This window comes from Homo sapiens, chromosome 2, assembly GCF_000001405.40.
Source record: "Homo sapiens chromosome 2, GRCh38.p14 Primary Assembly".
In the NCBI taxonomy this organism is placed as follows: Eukaryota; Metazoa; Chordata; class Mammalia; order Primates; family Hominidae; genus Homo; species Homo sapiens.
In genome coordinates, this window is record NC_000002.12 from 165,448,767 (window position 1) to 165,467,907 (window position 19,141).

The window sequence follows — 19,141 nt, forward strand, 5'->3', positions numbered from 1 at the left end:
ATATGACTTAATAAACCAGCTAGTATCCCATGGTATCAAACATGAGTTTCACTGGACAATCGCTTATTATTGGACATTTGAATTCTTTTCAAATTTTCCTTTTTTAAACAGCTTTGTACGAACAGCTTGGAACAAATTACTTGTTTGCTTTAAGATTATCTTCTGGGAATACATTCCCCAAAGTGAAATTACTAGGTCAAAGGAAAAAAAAACATTATATAGCTTTTTGTTACAAATAGCTTTGCAGAAAATTTGAATCAATTTACAATGGCATTTAAAATATATGCCTACCTTTTTACCGTAACCTGTCACCAATGGATTCTTATAGCTTTTGCTCATTTAATGGATATGTAATGATATCTTAACTTTTTCTTAAGGCAATTTTATTAATTCTGTGGATTTTTTAGTATGCTACTTTAATATCTTATTTTTGTATGTTCAACCTGTTTCTTTTACTCCTTTGGTATTTATTGACTACCATCTGAATTTTATGACTATGGAACCTACAGACAACCTTATGCTTTAGGGCAAATATTGTAACATATAATAACTGCTTCTTTAGGACAACTAGCAAGCTTTGTCATGTGACTCCCATCCTTCTCTGTCCCACCACTTCCCCTTGCCCATCCCACTCTCTGAGGTTGATAGAGCTTCATGGATCTTACATTTTTTTAGTACAAGAATGATACTACAGAATATCCAGTGCTTAAATCTCTGTTATGGCTGGCCAAGAGTGTTTGTGATGTCAAAATTTCTTTTAAAATCCAGAAGAGTCATGATCCCCAAACTTACATCAATAATTCACAACTATGGGTATGCTGTTAAATGAAACTCTGATAATTTAAACATTAACATGGAGAGGGACTACACTAAATTCTGTAAGATAATTCCAAAGGACTATCTATTTCCACATATTGTCAAGCTCTGCCTATGGTATGTTTTCCCCATTTCCGAGGCAACTTGACTTCTACCTGCCCTATTCTTTAGGAGCAATCCTGACTGTAGACAACAGGTTCCATTTCATAGCTAAGTTACTGGTCTTACTCATCCAGTCTTGATCTGTAATTTCAGTATTGATTATTAGTCTATCTGCCTGAAACCAAAAGATTAAGGGCCCCTATTTGCCCCTCTCAGGAATAGTTGACTATTCCTCAAAACTGAAGCGTATTAGTGGGGATAGTGTTGGTCTTTAACCTGTTGGCTGACTATAGATACTGACTTCCTAACTCTCTTAAGCCTTAGCAACTATGATGTTACCTTATTATTTACTAACAGATGAAAAGCTAGGTGAATCATAATCCAAAATCTGAGGCTCTACCATTGTTTTCCAGAGAAAAAAGTGTGTGTTATTTACATGGCACACAGAAAAGCTCTCTCTTGCCAAGGTGCACAAAATAAGGACTCTCATATGCATATGCACAGCTCAAATACTGCCTTCTTTAGGTTGGGGAAACATGCATGCTTTGTAAAGGAACAGGCATGTTAAGGACTGTATACTGAAAGAAAAGAGGCAAGAGAAAGAACAATGATGGTAATAACCAGCAATCATTTGCAGAAACACTTCACTAGATGTCACCCCGCACTGAAGTCAAGATTAATGTTTTTCTGACAGAACACTAGCAGGAAGGTGCTGTTTCCTGCCAAAGACTCTTACTTCTCTCTGAGCTTAAATTGGTGGAATATCTGTGTGCAGAAAATGATTCCAAGTCATAAAGCTAACTTTTGGCTTTAAGAAAAGGATTTCAATGTTCATGAAGTTTTGACATTTGAGCAATGATGTATTATGCTAAATTATTAAGTAATTTTATATAATGCATACTTATTATATAAAACTTTGAAAATGCAAATAGGCATAAGGAAATTTTTAAAAATTACCTTATCTCCATAAATAAAAATTTCAACATTTCAATATATTCTTCTAGAACTTTCTCTACACACACACACACACACACACACACACACACACAAACGTTAACTTATATGTACTCTTTCAATGTCAATAAATAGGTTTTTACTGTGAATATACAATGCCATTTACATGGCACAATAGTGTTCTAGTATTTGTTCACCAGTTTCATACAATTATTGATCCTAGAAGCTTGAGATTCTACTGTGTTGAAAAAAGATGTGAGCCTTAATGCACTTTACTCATGTGTTTTATATTGATGTGTATGGCATCATCAAGTCTTACTTCAACCATTTTAGCATTTTCCTTTGAAGTTATCATGCAGATCTTAAAAACAATCTGATAGTAAGCTGTCTATATCCACGTACTTAATTTAAAAAATCTCTTGTTTACTACTAAGATTTTAATTCTAGGGAAGAAAAATGCTTGCTTGGGGTGAGTGAGCATTCACTCTGAGGAAGCAAGATATGACCCTGGATCTTATCTGACTGTAGGTGGGATTGGTCAGTGGGGGAAATCTATGGACAGGTTTTGTGTGTATGTCTTTTACTGGGAAAAGACTCATTCTACATGGTTTTTCAAAGGGATTAGTGAAATATTTTTAAGAGCCAGATGTTTCTGTGTTAAATTCCTAATGGGGTTAATTCACACAAATTACCGAATTTCTCTGATCTCATTTTCCCACCTGTAAATGTGAGGTCGTAATACCTATCTTGAAGTGTCATTGGAATTAAATGAGCTCATGCCTTTAAAGTTCTTGTTCATAAATGCACCAGGAGTTTATTTCTTATTCTATAAATGCATCTTTCCCTTTTTCAGAAATATAATTCATGATCACTCCCATCAGTTGAGTGAATGAGTAAATAATACACGATTAACTCTGGAAAATGCTTAAACATATTTTATCTAACTGCACAGCAATGAGTAAACAATACTGCTGCTGTTATTTCTATGTGGCTTTTATCAATATGCTTTTGATCTGTTTGCTATAAGCACTATACATCCTTATGATTTTTCTCTTTCTCTGACATTTTTTCCCTCTGTCTTTTAATTCTTTCCTACTTGGCAACCTAATGAAATCATTAAGACCATCATGAAATAGGTCCTATTGGGTTATAAATATATCATTTCCATTTCTATTGATATTTGCCATGCGTTTGTGGAATCCGTTGTTTGGGTTTTGAAAGAAAATAATGAGGTGATCACTCTGACAGCTCACCCTCCACACTGTACGATTGCTTGAGTAACGATAGGAAAGTGGTTGCTTTTCTTTGACAAAGCTTTTTTTATTATCTGGCCCAGTTCAGCCTCATAGCTTTAGTTGCAACTACTCAGAAACTGAAGGAATAAAGTAAGAAAACTTCCTCTATCCCTTCTCACTAGAACACGCATACATCTTTTTAATATTTTCCCAGAGTGGATATTGTGTTTAAGGAATGCTGTATTGATCTTTTGTAGTATCTTTATCAGAAATAGTCTCTTTCGCAGGCATGCTATTAAATAGAAAACACACCACTGATCTTGACTTAGCACAGAAATAAATGAATAAAATGTGTGTGCTTGGGGATGGGGTATGTACATGTACTTGATTTTATGTATATAAAATTCAATTGCTTCTCAAAATTTATCCACCTTATAAAAATAATAAGGGAAAAAACTCGGCGAGGTGGGAATTGGCTAATCTCTATTTGCCAGCCTTGCTATTATACAATTCCTTCCTTCCTTCCTTCCTTCCTTCCTTCCTTCCTTCCTTTCCTTCCTTCCTTCCTTTCTTTCTTCCTTCTCCCCCACCCTCCCCCCATTCCTTTCTTTCCTTCTTTCTTACTTTTCCCCCCAGGTTGGTTTCTTTGAATGTTTCCAGAAGAAGTTATTAGGTGGCAACTTTCATCTAAGCCTTCAGTGCTCAGCATTTCTGCTTTTACCTTGGGCACTGTGCACATTGTGGCACCCAAGCTGTTGTACTATTTTAAGCTTTACTTGCTCAAACTGCTTTGCTGTTCACTACTGCTGCAACATCAAGACCTAAAAATTTTAAAGAGAGGTCAACACAACCACATTGTTCCTTTATTCGGTGTTGTTTATGGAGTGTTTAATATGCACCAGTTACTACTTTTGTGATGAAATGCTCATTTCTATTATTAAAGTCTTACTATTAAGTGTATTTATTCTCACTTCTGGAAGAAGAAAATCTTTTTTCATACTATAGTATTATATATTATATTTAATATATACCCTAAAATAAATTTTCTGCTCATTGCATCAGGCATGAAACAAACCATTACCACATGCTAACAATATTTCTACAGTGGAGGTGATACCAAGGACAGTAGCGGCAGAGGGAAAGGAGACCCTGAAGCTCAGTGTTTCTGAAAGAAAGGGGAAAGGCTTCAGAGTCCTATCTGAATTTCTGCAGCTAAGTGGAATTTTGCCAAGCTTTTCAGTGTAAAGGACTAGAAGAAAGAAAATGTATGAACACACGGGAGTGAGAGAGCATCACGTAATTACAAAGTAATAATGAGTTTAGAATTTCAGAAAACAAAGTTGTGGCAGGTGATAAGGCAGGGAAGGCATGCAGCTTTTGAGACATCCAGAGGGAAGTGCCTAGTTTGGCAATTTTTGAAAAGCAATCTAATTTCACAGAGGTAGATCAGATGACCCATCATAACCAACAGAGGAACCAGTCTGGGTTAAGTCATGTGACTATTTCTTAAGAATGGAAAGTTATTTGACTTTCATGTGAGAAATTACACAAAAATATTGTGATTGATATTGTTTAAGGGGAACGCACGTTGTTGAGACCATTCAAACTATTTTTATGGAAATTAGTAGTCAGGAAAAACACACAAAAAAGGAGATAATCAATATGTATGTACAGAGATTTGGCTCCAGATAAACACCCATATGATAACATCAGGTCTACTCAGCACATTAGTGAAATTTGGCAAGATTAATGATTTTCTTAGCAACCTCCCCAGGAAATGAAGTTTGGCTGATGCAGTGCCATCTTAGGAAAGGCCAGATCTGCATATTATTAACATTTGTGTTGGTGGGTTCCCAAAAGTGGGTGTAGTTTGACCCAAAATGAGTGTTAGAATAAAAACCCCACTTGCTATAAGAGTGTGAAACCATCTGAGGGAAGCCAAAAATTAGACATTTCTTCAAGCACAAATGGCTGGTGTCAAAACTAGTTGCAACAGTGCTATGTTCAGCAGCTGCGCCTGCACGGTAACTAGGGAGCTATCTGGCTATGAATGTTTGTTTCACACATCAGAATTTAAGGGAGAGGGTAGAATACACTGGGCAACACCTCATGAAAATAAGGTGGGGTTTTCTTTCTCTCTCCATAACTTGAGTCTGAAGACTTAAAACGGGAGCAAACCATGATATAATCGTGTTTTCATCTTTGGAAAAACACGTATTTTTCTATCCTACCAATGACATTTTAAAAAGAAACATGCCTATTTCGTCATTGCCCATTCCTACTTCATAGCTATCTTAGATTTCCTTTTTAAGCCATCTTTCCTAGAGACCAAGATTGGCCCAAGACCAATTTGTTTACTCTGTGCCAAAAAGTTATTTCTCATTTCTCGGGCCCAATTATCTAGAAAGCTTATAAAATGTCTACCTTGGAAAGCCCAAGAAATAAAAATTTTAAAAATAAAGTTTCTCAGAGGAACTCACAGAATGTTCAATCCAAGATTCTTTTCTGGTTGGAGAAGGGTGCACAGATAGGAATCATAAAAAAGAAAAATGAGGAGCATTGTCTGCTTTGCAACCCTAGGTGTATTTATTTTGTCAGTTCCCTCTTGGTGTGAGCCTGGTGTATTAAAAGGAAGAGATCTAGAGGCGAGGATCTCCTACAGCCTTCTTACACAACACCACCACAGTTATTTGGGTAACTTTAAGGAAAGGTCTAGAAGTTAGAGGCAGACCAAGGACTCCTTTTGCAGCTGCTTGAGCCAGATGAGTATGTCAAAAGCAAAGAGGACCAACAGGTGAGTCTGGGCTCCATATAAGGTGGAAGTCCAGGAGACTGGTAACCACTGAAGACTTAGCTTATTTATATGCCCAGCTATCAGACGAGGCATAGAATTGCTAACCTTCCTTTATGATTCCTATTCTCTTCCCTCATTATTGAGTGTTGTCTATCTGTAGGTATTTTCAAGTGACCTGGGCTCAAGTTAGACTTTGTAGAAATATTGAATAAGATTTATTTATCCTTTAACAGTTTGGAAATATCTCATATAGATAAACTTGCCATCCAGGCTCAAAGAAAAACCCAAGGCTTTTGCAAGCCAGGTAAAGACAACTTTGCTTTTGAGGCAAAAATCAGCTAAAACTAAATCATACAGAAACCCTAACAAAGCATGAGAGGAAAAATTTACCTTGGCAAAATTTTTATTTTCCCAGGTATAAATGCTTACCTATGCAATTGTGTACTTGGACCTGTAGATAAATACCCCACAACTCTGAAGGTCTGAAAGTGGAAACATAAGAGAGAGCTCTTGAACATCTCTTTCTGGGGCCAAAGCTGTGTTGCCAAAGAGAAAAAAAAAAACTTACAGGAAAATTATAGCGTTTGCATTTGATAGAATAGGAAAGAAGACAAAAAAAAAAGTAAGTGCCATATTACATCCATATTGCATGTGAAATATTTTAAAATACATAATTCTTTTCAACATGCTAAAAGGGATATTATCTAAAAGAATTTAATACACATATATTGTATTTTATGTATATGAACTGCCTATGAAAATAGTATATCTTCTTAGCAGCAGTTTCAGAAACTAAACTTAAATTATATATTGAAAAGCTGCAAATAAAATTAAAACATTTCAGAACTTTTAGTAGTTGCAGGAATTACTACCAGATCTAATTCCTAAATTTATCAATGTATTTTTTATAATAAATAGATTTTCATACATTTAGCAGTATTTTATTGTGTAAAAGACAGATTTGAGTTCAAACCTTGACTTTTTCTCATAAAAAATGGAGGTGCTAGTAAAAAATGAAGACATTTTACTGTTAAAGTAAAATTCTATAAATACTATAGGTAGATAGGTAGCTAAGTTCCTGGCAGAAACTTGGTATGCAATACAAGGAACTTATTGCTAGTACTAAACTTAGCATATAGTATGAAGGATTAGGGCATTGAGAAATGAATACAATTTCATTACTATCATCAGCATAAAATATAGGGTAACAGGCTTAAAATCTTGTCTTCTTGATGGGAAAAGGATAATATCATTTAACATATTAACAGCAATATTTATTATTATTATCATATCTTTTATATCTGTTTTGGTTATAAAATTATTTCTCATATTGTCTCTTAAGATCAAACTATTTTTCATATTGTCTCTTAAGATCATTTGCCTCTTGAGCCAAACTCTCAGTTCCAGACACAATGCAGTAGCTTGCAGCAGATGATGTATCTATCTCCTGAGAATAACCAGGAAGAAACAGTTTTTAAAAATTTCTTTTTTATTTTTTTTAGTTCTGAGGAAATTGGAGAGCTGTCAAGGCAGCCAGGACTTGTGGAACCAGATCCTGGAGAAAAGAGGAGACTGAATTGAGCTGCAATTGAGTTCAGCCCAACTTTCTATGCACCACTTCTCCCCTTGGGACATCTGCTGACTCTCAGCACAGGACAAGGATCTGGAAAGCCTGGCAGGAAACAGTTCTTAATCCACAAACCAAAGTTGCCAGAAAGAGATTTTAAAACCACGGTGACTAAGATGTACCTTAAAATAGATGAAAAGATAAAGAATTTTAATATAAAATTGCAACCTATAAAAGAAAAGCAAATAAAAATTTTAGAATTAAAAAAGCATACTAAGTTTGAAAACTCAATAAATGAGTTTAGTAACAGACTGGATATAGCTAAACAGAGAATTAATAGGGTGGAAGAAAAGTTAGAAGAAAATATCCAAACTAAAGTAAAGGGAAAAAATGATGGAAGATATACATAAGCAGAGAGTCAATACATATGACATAGTGAAATGGTCTAACATATACGAAACTGAAGCATCAAAAGTGGAAGACAGAAAATGAGAAGAGAGAGAATATTCAAAGACAAAGAACTTTCCAAAGCTGATGAAAGAAACCAAAGATTTGAGGAGCACTACAATCCCAAACAAGATAAATAGCACAAATTAATAAATAAAAAATAAATCACAGTAAAACTGCTTAAAATGAAAAATTAAGAATACTGAAAGAAAGGATACTAAATTTATCATCAGATGACCTGCACCCATAGAAATATCAAAGAAATTTCTTTAGGCAACAGGAAAATGATTTCATGCAATAACATAAAACTGAAAAAAGAACAATACAAATTATAAATATGTGCCTACACTAAATGGATATACACTGTTTAAAAAATAGTAAATTCCTATGAGGTTTAAATGTATGAAAAACTAAAATTAAAATCCATCACAACAGTAGGACAAAAAACTTAGAAAAAGATAAGTAATTCTTACATTTTTGGGAAAAGGATAAAAGTACTTATTTATATTAAACTTTAATAAATGTTGGCTGTAGACTAATCACTATTTAAGTGGTAAAAGAATGTGTAAAGGAGAAAATGGAATAATAAAAATGCTTGAGCCAGGCACAGTGGCTCATACCTATAATTCCAGCAATTTGGGAGGCCAAGGTGGGAGGATCACTGGAGCCCAGGAGTTCAAGATCTGCCTGGACAACATGACAAAACCCCATCTCCACAAAAAATACAAAAATTAGTTGGACATAGTGGTGCACGCCTGTAGTTCCAGTTACTCAGGAGGCTGAAGTGGGAGGATCATTTGAGCCCCAGCGGCAGAGGCTGCAGTGAGTTGAGATTGCAACACTGCACTCTAGGCTGGATGACAGAAAACATTTTTGTAATGTTTTATTTTTTTTTCCTGCCTCGGAAAAAAAAAAAAAAAAGCAAAACAACAAACACAAAAAAACAAAGGAAACAAAATATATCCTCCATCCAGTCTAATTAAAATCCTAGCATATATTTTACCTTTTTCAGGAAAACATCCACAACATACTCTGTTGTCAAGTTTGTGATGAAACAAATACCCTCAAACATGGTTGCTGGTGGTCATACGAAAGCACAGAACCTCGTAAATAAGGAATTAGTAAATTCCAACAAAATTGAGTATGCATATACTCTTTAGCCTATCGTATCTCATTCTTTCAAAAGTGGCGAAGAAAGGGAAAAATAAGATTTATTCTCTTTCCCCTATGAATTATTAACTCAGAATAAACAAAAAATGAACAAAGTTTCTCAATTTGCTATTAAATGTACAAGGAATAATAAGATTTGGTTATCATTAATTTTCAGCTTCAGATAAAATTATAGATGTGTTATGATTATGAATACCTAACATCATAAAAAGAAAATCAACCCAAACTTGTACTAACACTACATACACAATCTAGGAATAAAGTGTGAAGGTAACCAAACATCTAGATTTAAGTACCAGAGGAACATATTAAATAACACATTGGGAAAGCAATCAGCAAAATTGAGACCACGGAAAACTCTACAGAGTAAAGGCTATGGCTTCATCAACAAATAAATTACAGCAGGAGAGAAAGAGAGAGAGAAAGGGAGGTGGGTCAGGGCAACCTGTAGGTTAAAAGAGACCATTTGCAGTGTGCTATGTATGAATGGACTTTCTTTGGATGCTGATTTCAACAAAAATCTAGAAAACACTCATGAGACATTTGGAGAAATGTGAACACCAACTGTGTATTTTTTATATGGAATAAAGGTATTTTTAGAAGTTTCCTTGTCTTTTAGATAATTTTTAAAATTTTTTTCAGATTCAGGGGTATGTTTTTAGGCTTGTTATAAGGGTGTGTTGCATAATGCTGGAGTTTGGCTTCTATTGAACCCATTACCTGAATAGTGAAAATAGTGCCCTACCCAATATGTATTTTTTCAACCCCTTGCCCCTCTCCCTTTCTCCCCACTTTTGGAGTTCCCTGTATTTATTGATTCCATCTTAGTGCCCATATGTACCCATTGTTTAGTGCCCACTTTTAAATGAGAACATGTGGTAGTTGATTTTCTGTTTCCACATCAATTCACTTTAATTCACTTAGGATAATGGCCTCCAGCTGCATCCATGTTGCTGCAAAGGACATGATTTCATTCTTATTTATGGCTGCATAGTATTCCATGATGTATATCTACTGCATCTTCTTTATCCAATTTATGGTTGATGGGCACTTAGGTTAATTCCATGACTTTGCCATTGTGAATAGTGCTGCAATAAACATATGAGTATAGCTGTCTTTTTGATAGGACAATTTCTTTTCCTTTGGGTATATAGCCAGTAGTGGGATTGCTGGGTCAAATGGCAGTTCAATTCCAATTCTTTGAGAAATCTACATACTGTTTTTTTATAGGGATTGAACTAATTTACATTCCCACCAACAGTGTATAAGCATTCCCTTTTGTCTGCATCCTCACGAACATCTATTATTTTTTTACTTTTTAATAATAGCCATTCTGACTGGTGTGAGATAGTATCTCATTGTGGTTTTAGTGTGCATTTCTCTGAAGATTAGTGATAAGCATTTTCTCATGTTGGCCACTTGTATATCTTCTTTTAAGAAGTGTCTGTTTATGTCCTTTGCCCACTTTTTAGTGAGTTTTTTTCTTATTGATTTAAGTTCTTTATAGATTCTAGATAGTAGTCCTTTGTCAGATGCATAGTTTGAAAATATCTTCTCCCATTATGTAGGTTGTTTGTTTAATCTGTTGATTTTTTTTTTTTTTTTGCTATGCAGAATATCTTAAGTAAGTCTCAATTGTCAATTTTTGTTTTTGATGCATTTGCTTCTAAGGGCTTAGTCATAAATTTTTTGCCAAAATTCTTGCCCAAATTCTGGGCATTTCCAATGTCCAGAAGAGGTTTACTTCTAGAATTTTTTTTAACAGTCTGAGGCCTTAATTTAAGTCTTTAATCCATCTTGTTAATTTTTGTTTATGGTGAGAGGTAGAGGTACAGTTTCATTCTTCTGCATATGGCTAGCCAGCTTTCCCAGCACAATTTATTGAGTGGGGTGTCCTTTCCCCATTGTTTCTTTTTGTCAACTTTGTTGAAGATCAGTTGATTGTAGATGTGCAGCTTTATTTCTGTGTTCTCTATTCTGTTACATTGATCTCTGTGTCTATTTTTGTACTAGTACCATGCTGATTTGGTTACTACAGCCTTGTAGTATCGTTTAAAGTCAGGCAATGTAATACCTCTGGTTTTGTTCTTTTTGCTTAGGATTGCTTTGGCTATTTGGGCTTTTTCGTGGCTCCATGTGAATTTTAGAATACTTTTTTGTAACTCTGTGAAAGATGACATTGGTAATTTGATAGGAATTCCATTGAATCTGTAGATTGCTTTGGGCAGAACAGTCATTTTAATGACATTGATTCTTCTAATCTATGAATATGGAGTGTTTTTCCATTTGTTTGTGTTATCTATGATTTCTTTTATCAGTTATTTTTTCTGGTTCTTTTAAATAATGAATATTTATGGGTAAAATAATATGAAGCCCATAGTGTGCTTTAATATAATGGGGTAGAAGTGGATAGGGTCTGAAGGAAACAACAACAATCATGGGTTATTACTGAAACTTGGTGAAGTACACATGGAAATTATTGTATCTATTCTTTCTAAATTTGTATTTGTTTAAAATTATCATTAATAAACAGTTAAAATGTAATGTCCTTTACCTTATAAAAATACATATTTCTGAGACAGAAACTTCATGATTTTTATTTCGCGGGTGTGAGGTAAGAACCAGGAGTTTGATTTTAGCTGGGGTCCCAAATGTTTCTCATGTACATTATAAAAAATATATAGTTTTATGACTCTCCAGCACTTTAATTATAACATATGATTATATTATAAAATAATAATTGACATATTGATTTTTCATAATATTAAAGTGTATTTTTATCTTCACAATTAGACAATTGACCTTATGTTATTTTCTCTATTATTGCACTAGTACCAGTTCTTTACCATGATAGACATTCAAGCATTTATTTCTCTTGAAGTGAGTGTATATTTCTCAGTCCAGAAGAGTCTTCTCTGAAATCCACAAAACAAAGGTGAGATGCTAATTTTTCCTAAAACACACAAGACAAAGCTAATGATATATACCTCTCATAGATCAACTGCTGTTTTGCTTCAAACACTTAAATATCACAAAACACACCATATTTGTTTATTCATTTGTAAGCTTAAGAGCTTATTATTATTATCATTAGAGATAGAGTCTTGCCCTGTTGCCTGTTGCTCAGGCTGAAGTGCCTGTGCCACCATGCCTAAGTTTTTTTTGTTTTTGTTTTTGTTTTTGTTTTTTAGTAGAAACAAGGTCTCTCTATGTTGCCCAGCCTGGTCTCGAATTCCAAGGGATCCTTCTGCCTCTTCTTCCTGAAATGCTGTGATTACGGGTGTGAGCCACTATGCCTGGCCAAGAGTTTATCCCTAATCCTCTGCTTTAAATAAATTTACAACTGAAAACTGGACTTTATTAGAAAATAATAAATTAATTAATAATGGTAATGATAAATACCTCATAGCATCTGCTTTGGCAAGATCAGAACTTAAAATCTTGTTATTTTTTTTCCCCCAAATGAAGATAGGAAGAAAAACTAGTAGGATGAAAAGGCTTCAAAATATGCATGTAAGAGTGGTAAGAGAAGGACAGAAAAATCAGTCCAGACATTTCGTTACTCACCATGAATTGCTTTTTTTCTTACAGAGTCTCACTCAGTCATCCAGGCTGGAGTGCAGTGGCGCAATCTCGGCTCACTGCAAACTCTGCCTCCCGGGTTCAAGTGATTATTCTGCCTCGGCCTCCCAAGTAGCTGGGACTACAGGCGCGTGCCACCACACCAGGTGAATTTTTTTATTTTTAGCAGAGTTCGGGTTTCACCATGTTGGCCAGGCTGGCCTTGAACTCATGACCTCGAGTGATTCACCCTCCTTGGCTTTCTAAAGTGCTGGGATTACAGGCATGAGCCACTGTGCCTGGCCCATGGATTGCTTTAAGAAGTCAATTTGAGGTCTGCTGTGTACCAGAGCTACACCATAAACCACCTGCTGCTTTCCCTCACTTTAGGAAAGAGAAAAACTAAAAACCATTCTTCAGAATTTAATGAAACATAGAAATACCTATAAACTAATCAAGAGTGCTTTTAAAAATTATATTAGGATTCTTAGTTTTTAAGGCCATTTTGGTGGTTGTGAAGGAGAAAATTCACCTGAATAATTTTTACTTACCAAGTCCGTCAGAACACCTGCTTCCATTTCGAATATTTGAATTTTATAGACATCTTTGGCCAAACCTCACACTGTATACCATGGAAAAATTTTCCATGTTTTTTTTGCTGTTTTGCAAATAAAACTCTTCTGTTTGCAATGTGCAGCTGGATATACCATTTATTTTCTTCTTGTATGGATTAAACAGAACAAATAAGCTTAAATATTTCATTTATACAATAGCATTCTTAATTATGTTGTCATTTGTTTTATTTCCAAAAATTCTTATTTAAATATATTTTTATACATTCTTTGAAGTAAAGTATTTGACCTCACTTTTGTCTTTAATATAAATAAATTTAAATGGCTACAATTTCTTGCTATTATCATCCCAAATTTGTTACATAATTATCTATTTATTGAAAAGGAAAGAGTGCCTACCCATAATACTGTCTGGGAGAAATAGCTCCATAGGGGTTATGGCTCAGATCGACTTGGAGATAATGAAATGACGAAGCAGCTTTCATTTCTATCATTCACTCTGGGATGACTACAGAAGAACAGGATGTGTAGTCCTGTAGTACCCATCATAAAGATTTACACAAATTGTTCCTTTCTTCCAGAGTGCTGTTACTTTCCTCAGTGTTACATACTGTCATTAAATTCTCCACCCTCACTATTACAGCTTCCATTACCACCCACATGGCACTACGGCTTTATCCATGGGTGGCAGATGTTATCACCATATGTCATCCGATCAATTTTCCATTCAAGGGTAATGTAATGTTTGGGGGAAAGCCAACTCACACTTTAGTAAAGGCTGTCTCTGTAGTCTTCACCAGCCATAAATGCAAGCATCCTTTCAACTTATTGGCTCTGTTACCTAACCAAAAATCAGCAGGGATCTTAGAGGCTCATTGCATGTTTCCATGTTAGTTGGGCTCTCTCTCACTATCACCTGCCAAATTGTTTCCTATTAAGGAGTTTGGCATTATTTTGTTTTCCTCTACTTTTATTTATCTCAGAATATTCTGGACAGAGCATCATTAGATAGACGAGTACCAAAGGAAAGTATCAGTCTCAGGTCTGGTGTATGAGGCTGTTACTGCTTGTTTATTTCTAAGATCTATAGCTCATCTCCTTGCTCCAGGAGCTGGCATTACTCAGAGAGTTTGAAATTCTTATTCAATATAATTCTAAGAGGCAGCCAAAGTAAAGACAATATCAATTTATCTGTACAGTTCTGATTTACTCACGTGCTCTCTCTCTCTCTCTCAATCCTCTTTGCTTTCTTCTTTTCTCTCCATTTCCTTCCAACTCCATTCTTACTCTTGCTGTGGATTTGTATCTTTTTCCAGTAGATGTTATTGAACATCTATTATTTGCCAGTCCCTACCTTATGCTCTGCATATTTAAGTATTAAATAAAGTATAATTCATGTATGATTTCCAAACCTTGAAGATAAAACTGAAATTATTTTGAAACTAGTCTAGTCTAATCACTGCATTTCCTATCCATGTTGGGCAATTAAAATGTGGAATGTTAGGGAGATGAGAAAGTAGAAACAATTATGTATTTTTATTGTTTATGAGATTGCCTACGTTTCAAGTGCTCAAGCTGCCTGCAATTTGGTGAAGAAACTTCTGTTTACATTAGTAAAATTTAAATTTGCATTTAAATTTTTAAAACTTGGGTTGTGTCCTTTTTCCATTTTTGTCTTACCAGTTTCAAATCTAAATCTCATGGTCAAATTCATTCAAAACCCCTTAATTCCAATGATCACTTGGTTTGTCTTTCTTTAGAGGTTTTCCTGTCATTATGTATCTTTCTTGACATGTGATAACCAATAATTACTATGGCATTTCAGGTGTGGAAAATCTACATTTTTATATAAAATCAGCCTATTCCTATAAAATTTGCATTAATACCTTTCCAGAAGACAAGTTGGCTGGGGGGATATTTTTGGACAATTTGAAATAATGTGTTTACGAACCAGTCTAAAGTTAACCTTTTTCTGAGTTACAATTGATATTCAAACATCATCACAATTTAAAGTTTAAATTACTTATTCTTAACTTATAACTTTGTATCTAATGAAAATCACCTACTATTTTATTGTTCAGTCATGCTAACTTGAAAGCTATTCATAGGTTATTCTTGTTTACTTGTAAATGTAGTAGGATCAGAAAACTTAGATAATCTACTGTTCTCTGGGAGGACACTGGTGCCTGCAATGCCAGCTATTCTACAGGCTGAGGTGGAAGGACTGATGGTTCCCCAAGGTTCAAGTCCAGCCTAGGCAACAGGGTGAGACCTTGTCTCTTAAAAAAATTGTAAAAGAAGAGAACATTTTGTTAACATTGCTTAATTTTGTAAAATTAACAGCCTTATTTGCAGTAGTTTTTAGATTCCAGTTGTTGCTATGGTCCACGATCCTCCTCTTTGTTAAGCATTTTGTTGGCATGCGTCTCCAGGACAGGAAGTATGACTGCTGTTTAATTTGGTTCTCTACACATTGACCAATTCAGCACACTACTTCTATAGCATATATGTATATATTATACTGTATACATATGTTTTATGTATATTATTATTTAAAATATAATTTTCATTCATCAGAATGGTAGCTCCATAGAGTCAGAGACTTGGTCTTGTTTACTGCAGTACCTTAGTACCAAGAACAGTGTCTTCACATAAAAATGCTCAATAAACATCTCTGAATTCATACTTTAGAAGTGCATTGTTATTTTTATAGGCAACTAGTGAATAAATTCTTACTAATTTGCATCACTACATAAGTTATTTTATGAAATATCTTTGAGCATCTCTTACTGTCTGATTATCATGGTCTTTGCACATGGACATAGGCCACACTGGTGGTTTATTAGTCTCTCAACACCTCTGGGAATTTATAGCAGCATGTAAAATATTTTGGCCAGTTGTACCTAATTTTACCCTTGAGTTTCTGCAAACATTTGGATGGCTGCCACCAGGATTTGTTGATCTACTTATTCCTCTGTATTGATTAGGTCAAGAGTAGTCTTAGTGCTATTTATCATGTTTGGATTTGATACTTCTGAATCTCAATTTCAAAAACCAATTTAGGAATCAGTTAATGACTTCCTCAAAGAAGACTGGAATAAAAAATGATTTTTTTCTATTTTGTTTATATCCCTTGATATGTTATGAGACTGGAGATATTAAATAGTTCCACTGATCCTTCAGCTTATTTTTTTAGCAAATTTGAAGCTCTTAACTTTTATTACTTTGGTCTCTTACAAGAGTGTTCTCGATTCTGAGCTACATAATTTTTGATTCATCTGCACTACCACTCCTTAAGATCTTTTCAATTCCAATCACTTGACAAATTTCTGACTTTCAAAAATATAGGTTTTATTAAGATAGTCTCTTTGGACAGTTAGGTATGAAAAATTTTTATTTAATCATTTGATCTGTGCCAAGCCTCATCTATTTCCTTAGTGGTCATTATATTATCCCAAAACCTTACCTCTACAGCTCAATGGAAGAAACTTCACTTAATTAATACATAACATATTGAAATCCCTTCCTATTACAACCTGCTCTAATTTTGGACTTTCTTAAAAGTTGTCCATTATGTTACTCTTTAGGCTTATTTCTATTTTCAGCTTTTAAAGAATATTTTATTATTTAATTTAGGGTATTTTAACCTTTAGAAATTTTGTAATATTTCTCTTGTTATGAAAGATTTTTAAAGTCACTCAGACACACTCTCAGACGGTCTATTACCTTTGCTTCAGGCAAACAAGGCAACATGCAGCTGAGCTCCCGTGGCCATCAAAGGCCTGACTGTCACTGCTCCTTAGGAAAGCATCTCCCTCTATCAATATCAGCCTGTGATATTCCCATCATGTCACGCCTGTCTGATGAGTGGTGTAAGGTAGAGACCTGCAGCAGCAAGCAAGGCTCACTTTCTGCCTCTGCTCCTATTCTGTTTCTCTGAATTGAAAAGATGGTCTGGTGATGAGTGTGTTTGCTAGAAGACCCTTGTTCTGGGTGTATATAAAGCACTGTACTTGTCTCCATTTCTTTATCTTCCATCTGTTTTTCCAACCACCGCAGTCATCCTGCCCTACCCCAACCACTCCACTGAAACTGTTCACTGTCAGTTCACCAAGAACCAAATTGCAAATTTCATAGGTAACAACAATGTTTCTAAAATTTGAGTGTGCTTGTGGATCTTGTTACAATGCAGATTGTGATTCAGTTTACTGGGGTGGGGCCTGAGATTCTGCATTAGAACCAGCTCCCATGAGATGTCTAAGCTGGAATCAGTGGACTGCACTTTGAATAGCAAGGCATTAGCCCTCACCATAATCGTTCACCTTCCTGAAATTCTCTACTCCTTTGGGTTTTGCTACACCATTCTCTCCTGGCTTCCCTCCTCGCTAACTGTTCCTCCTAAGCATCTTTTCTTCATTCTGCTTTCTGCTTGTTCTTTAAAGGTAAGTAAATTCCCTGAGTTTCATTCTCAACTTATTTCTCCTCTTCCTAGAGTGATGATTCTCAAACTTTAGTGTACAAAGGAAGTCAGCTGAAAAATGTTATCAAAATGGAGCTCCCTAAGCTTCATTCCAAAGGTTCTGATTCAGTAGGTATGGGGTGGAGTCTCTTAGTCAGCATTTTTAATTCTGCTAAAGATGTTTTTCTTTTTTAAAAAATAAATGTATATAAATATGGCATACGTAACCTCATATTGTCTTAATTAAACACGATGTATGTCATAACCTCATATTATCTTAAACACAATATTTATATATATTTAATTAGTAAAAGTTTGCTATAGTGAAGCAAACTAACATATCCATCATTTCATATAGCTATACTTTTTTGTTGTTTTTGTGGTAAGAGTAGCTAACATCTACTTATTTTACATGAAACCCATAGTACAATTTCATTACCTGTAGTCCTCATGTTGTACATTAGATCTCTAGACTTGTTCATCATATATATATATATATACACACATATACACACACACATACATATATATATATATATATATGCTTCTTTGTATCCTCTGACCTACATCTTCCCATACCCCCAGTCCCTGCCTCTGGTAATCACTGTTTTGTTCTCTATCTCTATATATTTGATTTTTTTTTTTACAAAGATTCTGCATATAAGTGAGACCAGGCAATATTTCTGTGTCTGGATTATAGCACATAGCATAATGTCCTCCAGGCTCATCTACATAGTGGCAAAAAGCAAGATCTATTTTTTAGGACTGAATAATATTCCATTGTGTATTTGTACCACATTTTTATCCCCTTGTCCATCAATGAATGCTTAAGTTGTTTCCATATGTTGGCTATTGTGAATAATGCTGCAATGAACATGGTAATACAGATATCTTTACAAAGTTGTGATTCCACTTCTGAGTATATGCCCAGAAGAGAGATTGCTAGATCATATGGTAGTTCTATTTTTAATTTTTTTACAATCATCCATACTGTTTTTCATAATGCTGTAGCAGTTGACATTCCCACCAACAGTGTACAAGAGTACTCTTTTCTCTACACTCTCTCCAACATTTATCTGCAGACATTTTGATAACAGCCGTCCTAATAAATATGAGGTGGTATTTCTTAGTAATTTTGATTTACATTGCCCTGAGGATTGGTGATGCTGAGCATATTTTCATAAACCTGTTGTCCATTTTTATGTCTTCTTTGGAGAAATGTCTATTTGGGCCTTTTGTCCATTTTGTATTGGGTTTGTTTTTCCACTGTTAAGTTTTATGAGTTCTTTATAAAATTTTTATATTAAACCCTTAGGGTGCTCATTTATTTTCATTACTTTAACCGAACCCTAGATGCTGGGGGTTCCAAATTGAACCTACATCCCAGCCTTATTTATGAGTTTAACTGACTATTTAATATTTTAATCTGGATATCCAAAAAGTTCAAAACGTTCAAATTAATTT

At 34.7% G+C, this 19,141-nt stretch overlaps 1 annotated feature.

The window, feature by feature from the left end:
* Positions 11,852-13,051: an enhancer, noted in NCBI's record as "BRD4-independent group 4 enhancer chr2:166317128-166318327 (GRCh37/hg19 assembly coordinates)". NCBI's record gives its function as "activates an origin of replication core promoter dependent on BRD2, P300/CBP, MED14 and CDK7 cofactors, and independent of BRD4, by STARR-seq in HCT116 cells {active_cell/tissue: HCT116}" and the evidence as "EXISTENCE:reporter gene assay evidence [ECO:0000049][PMID:35650434]".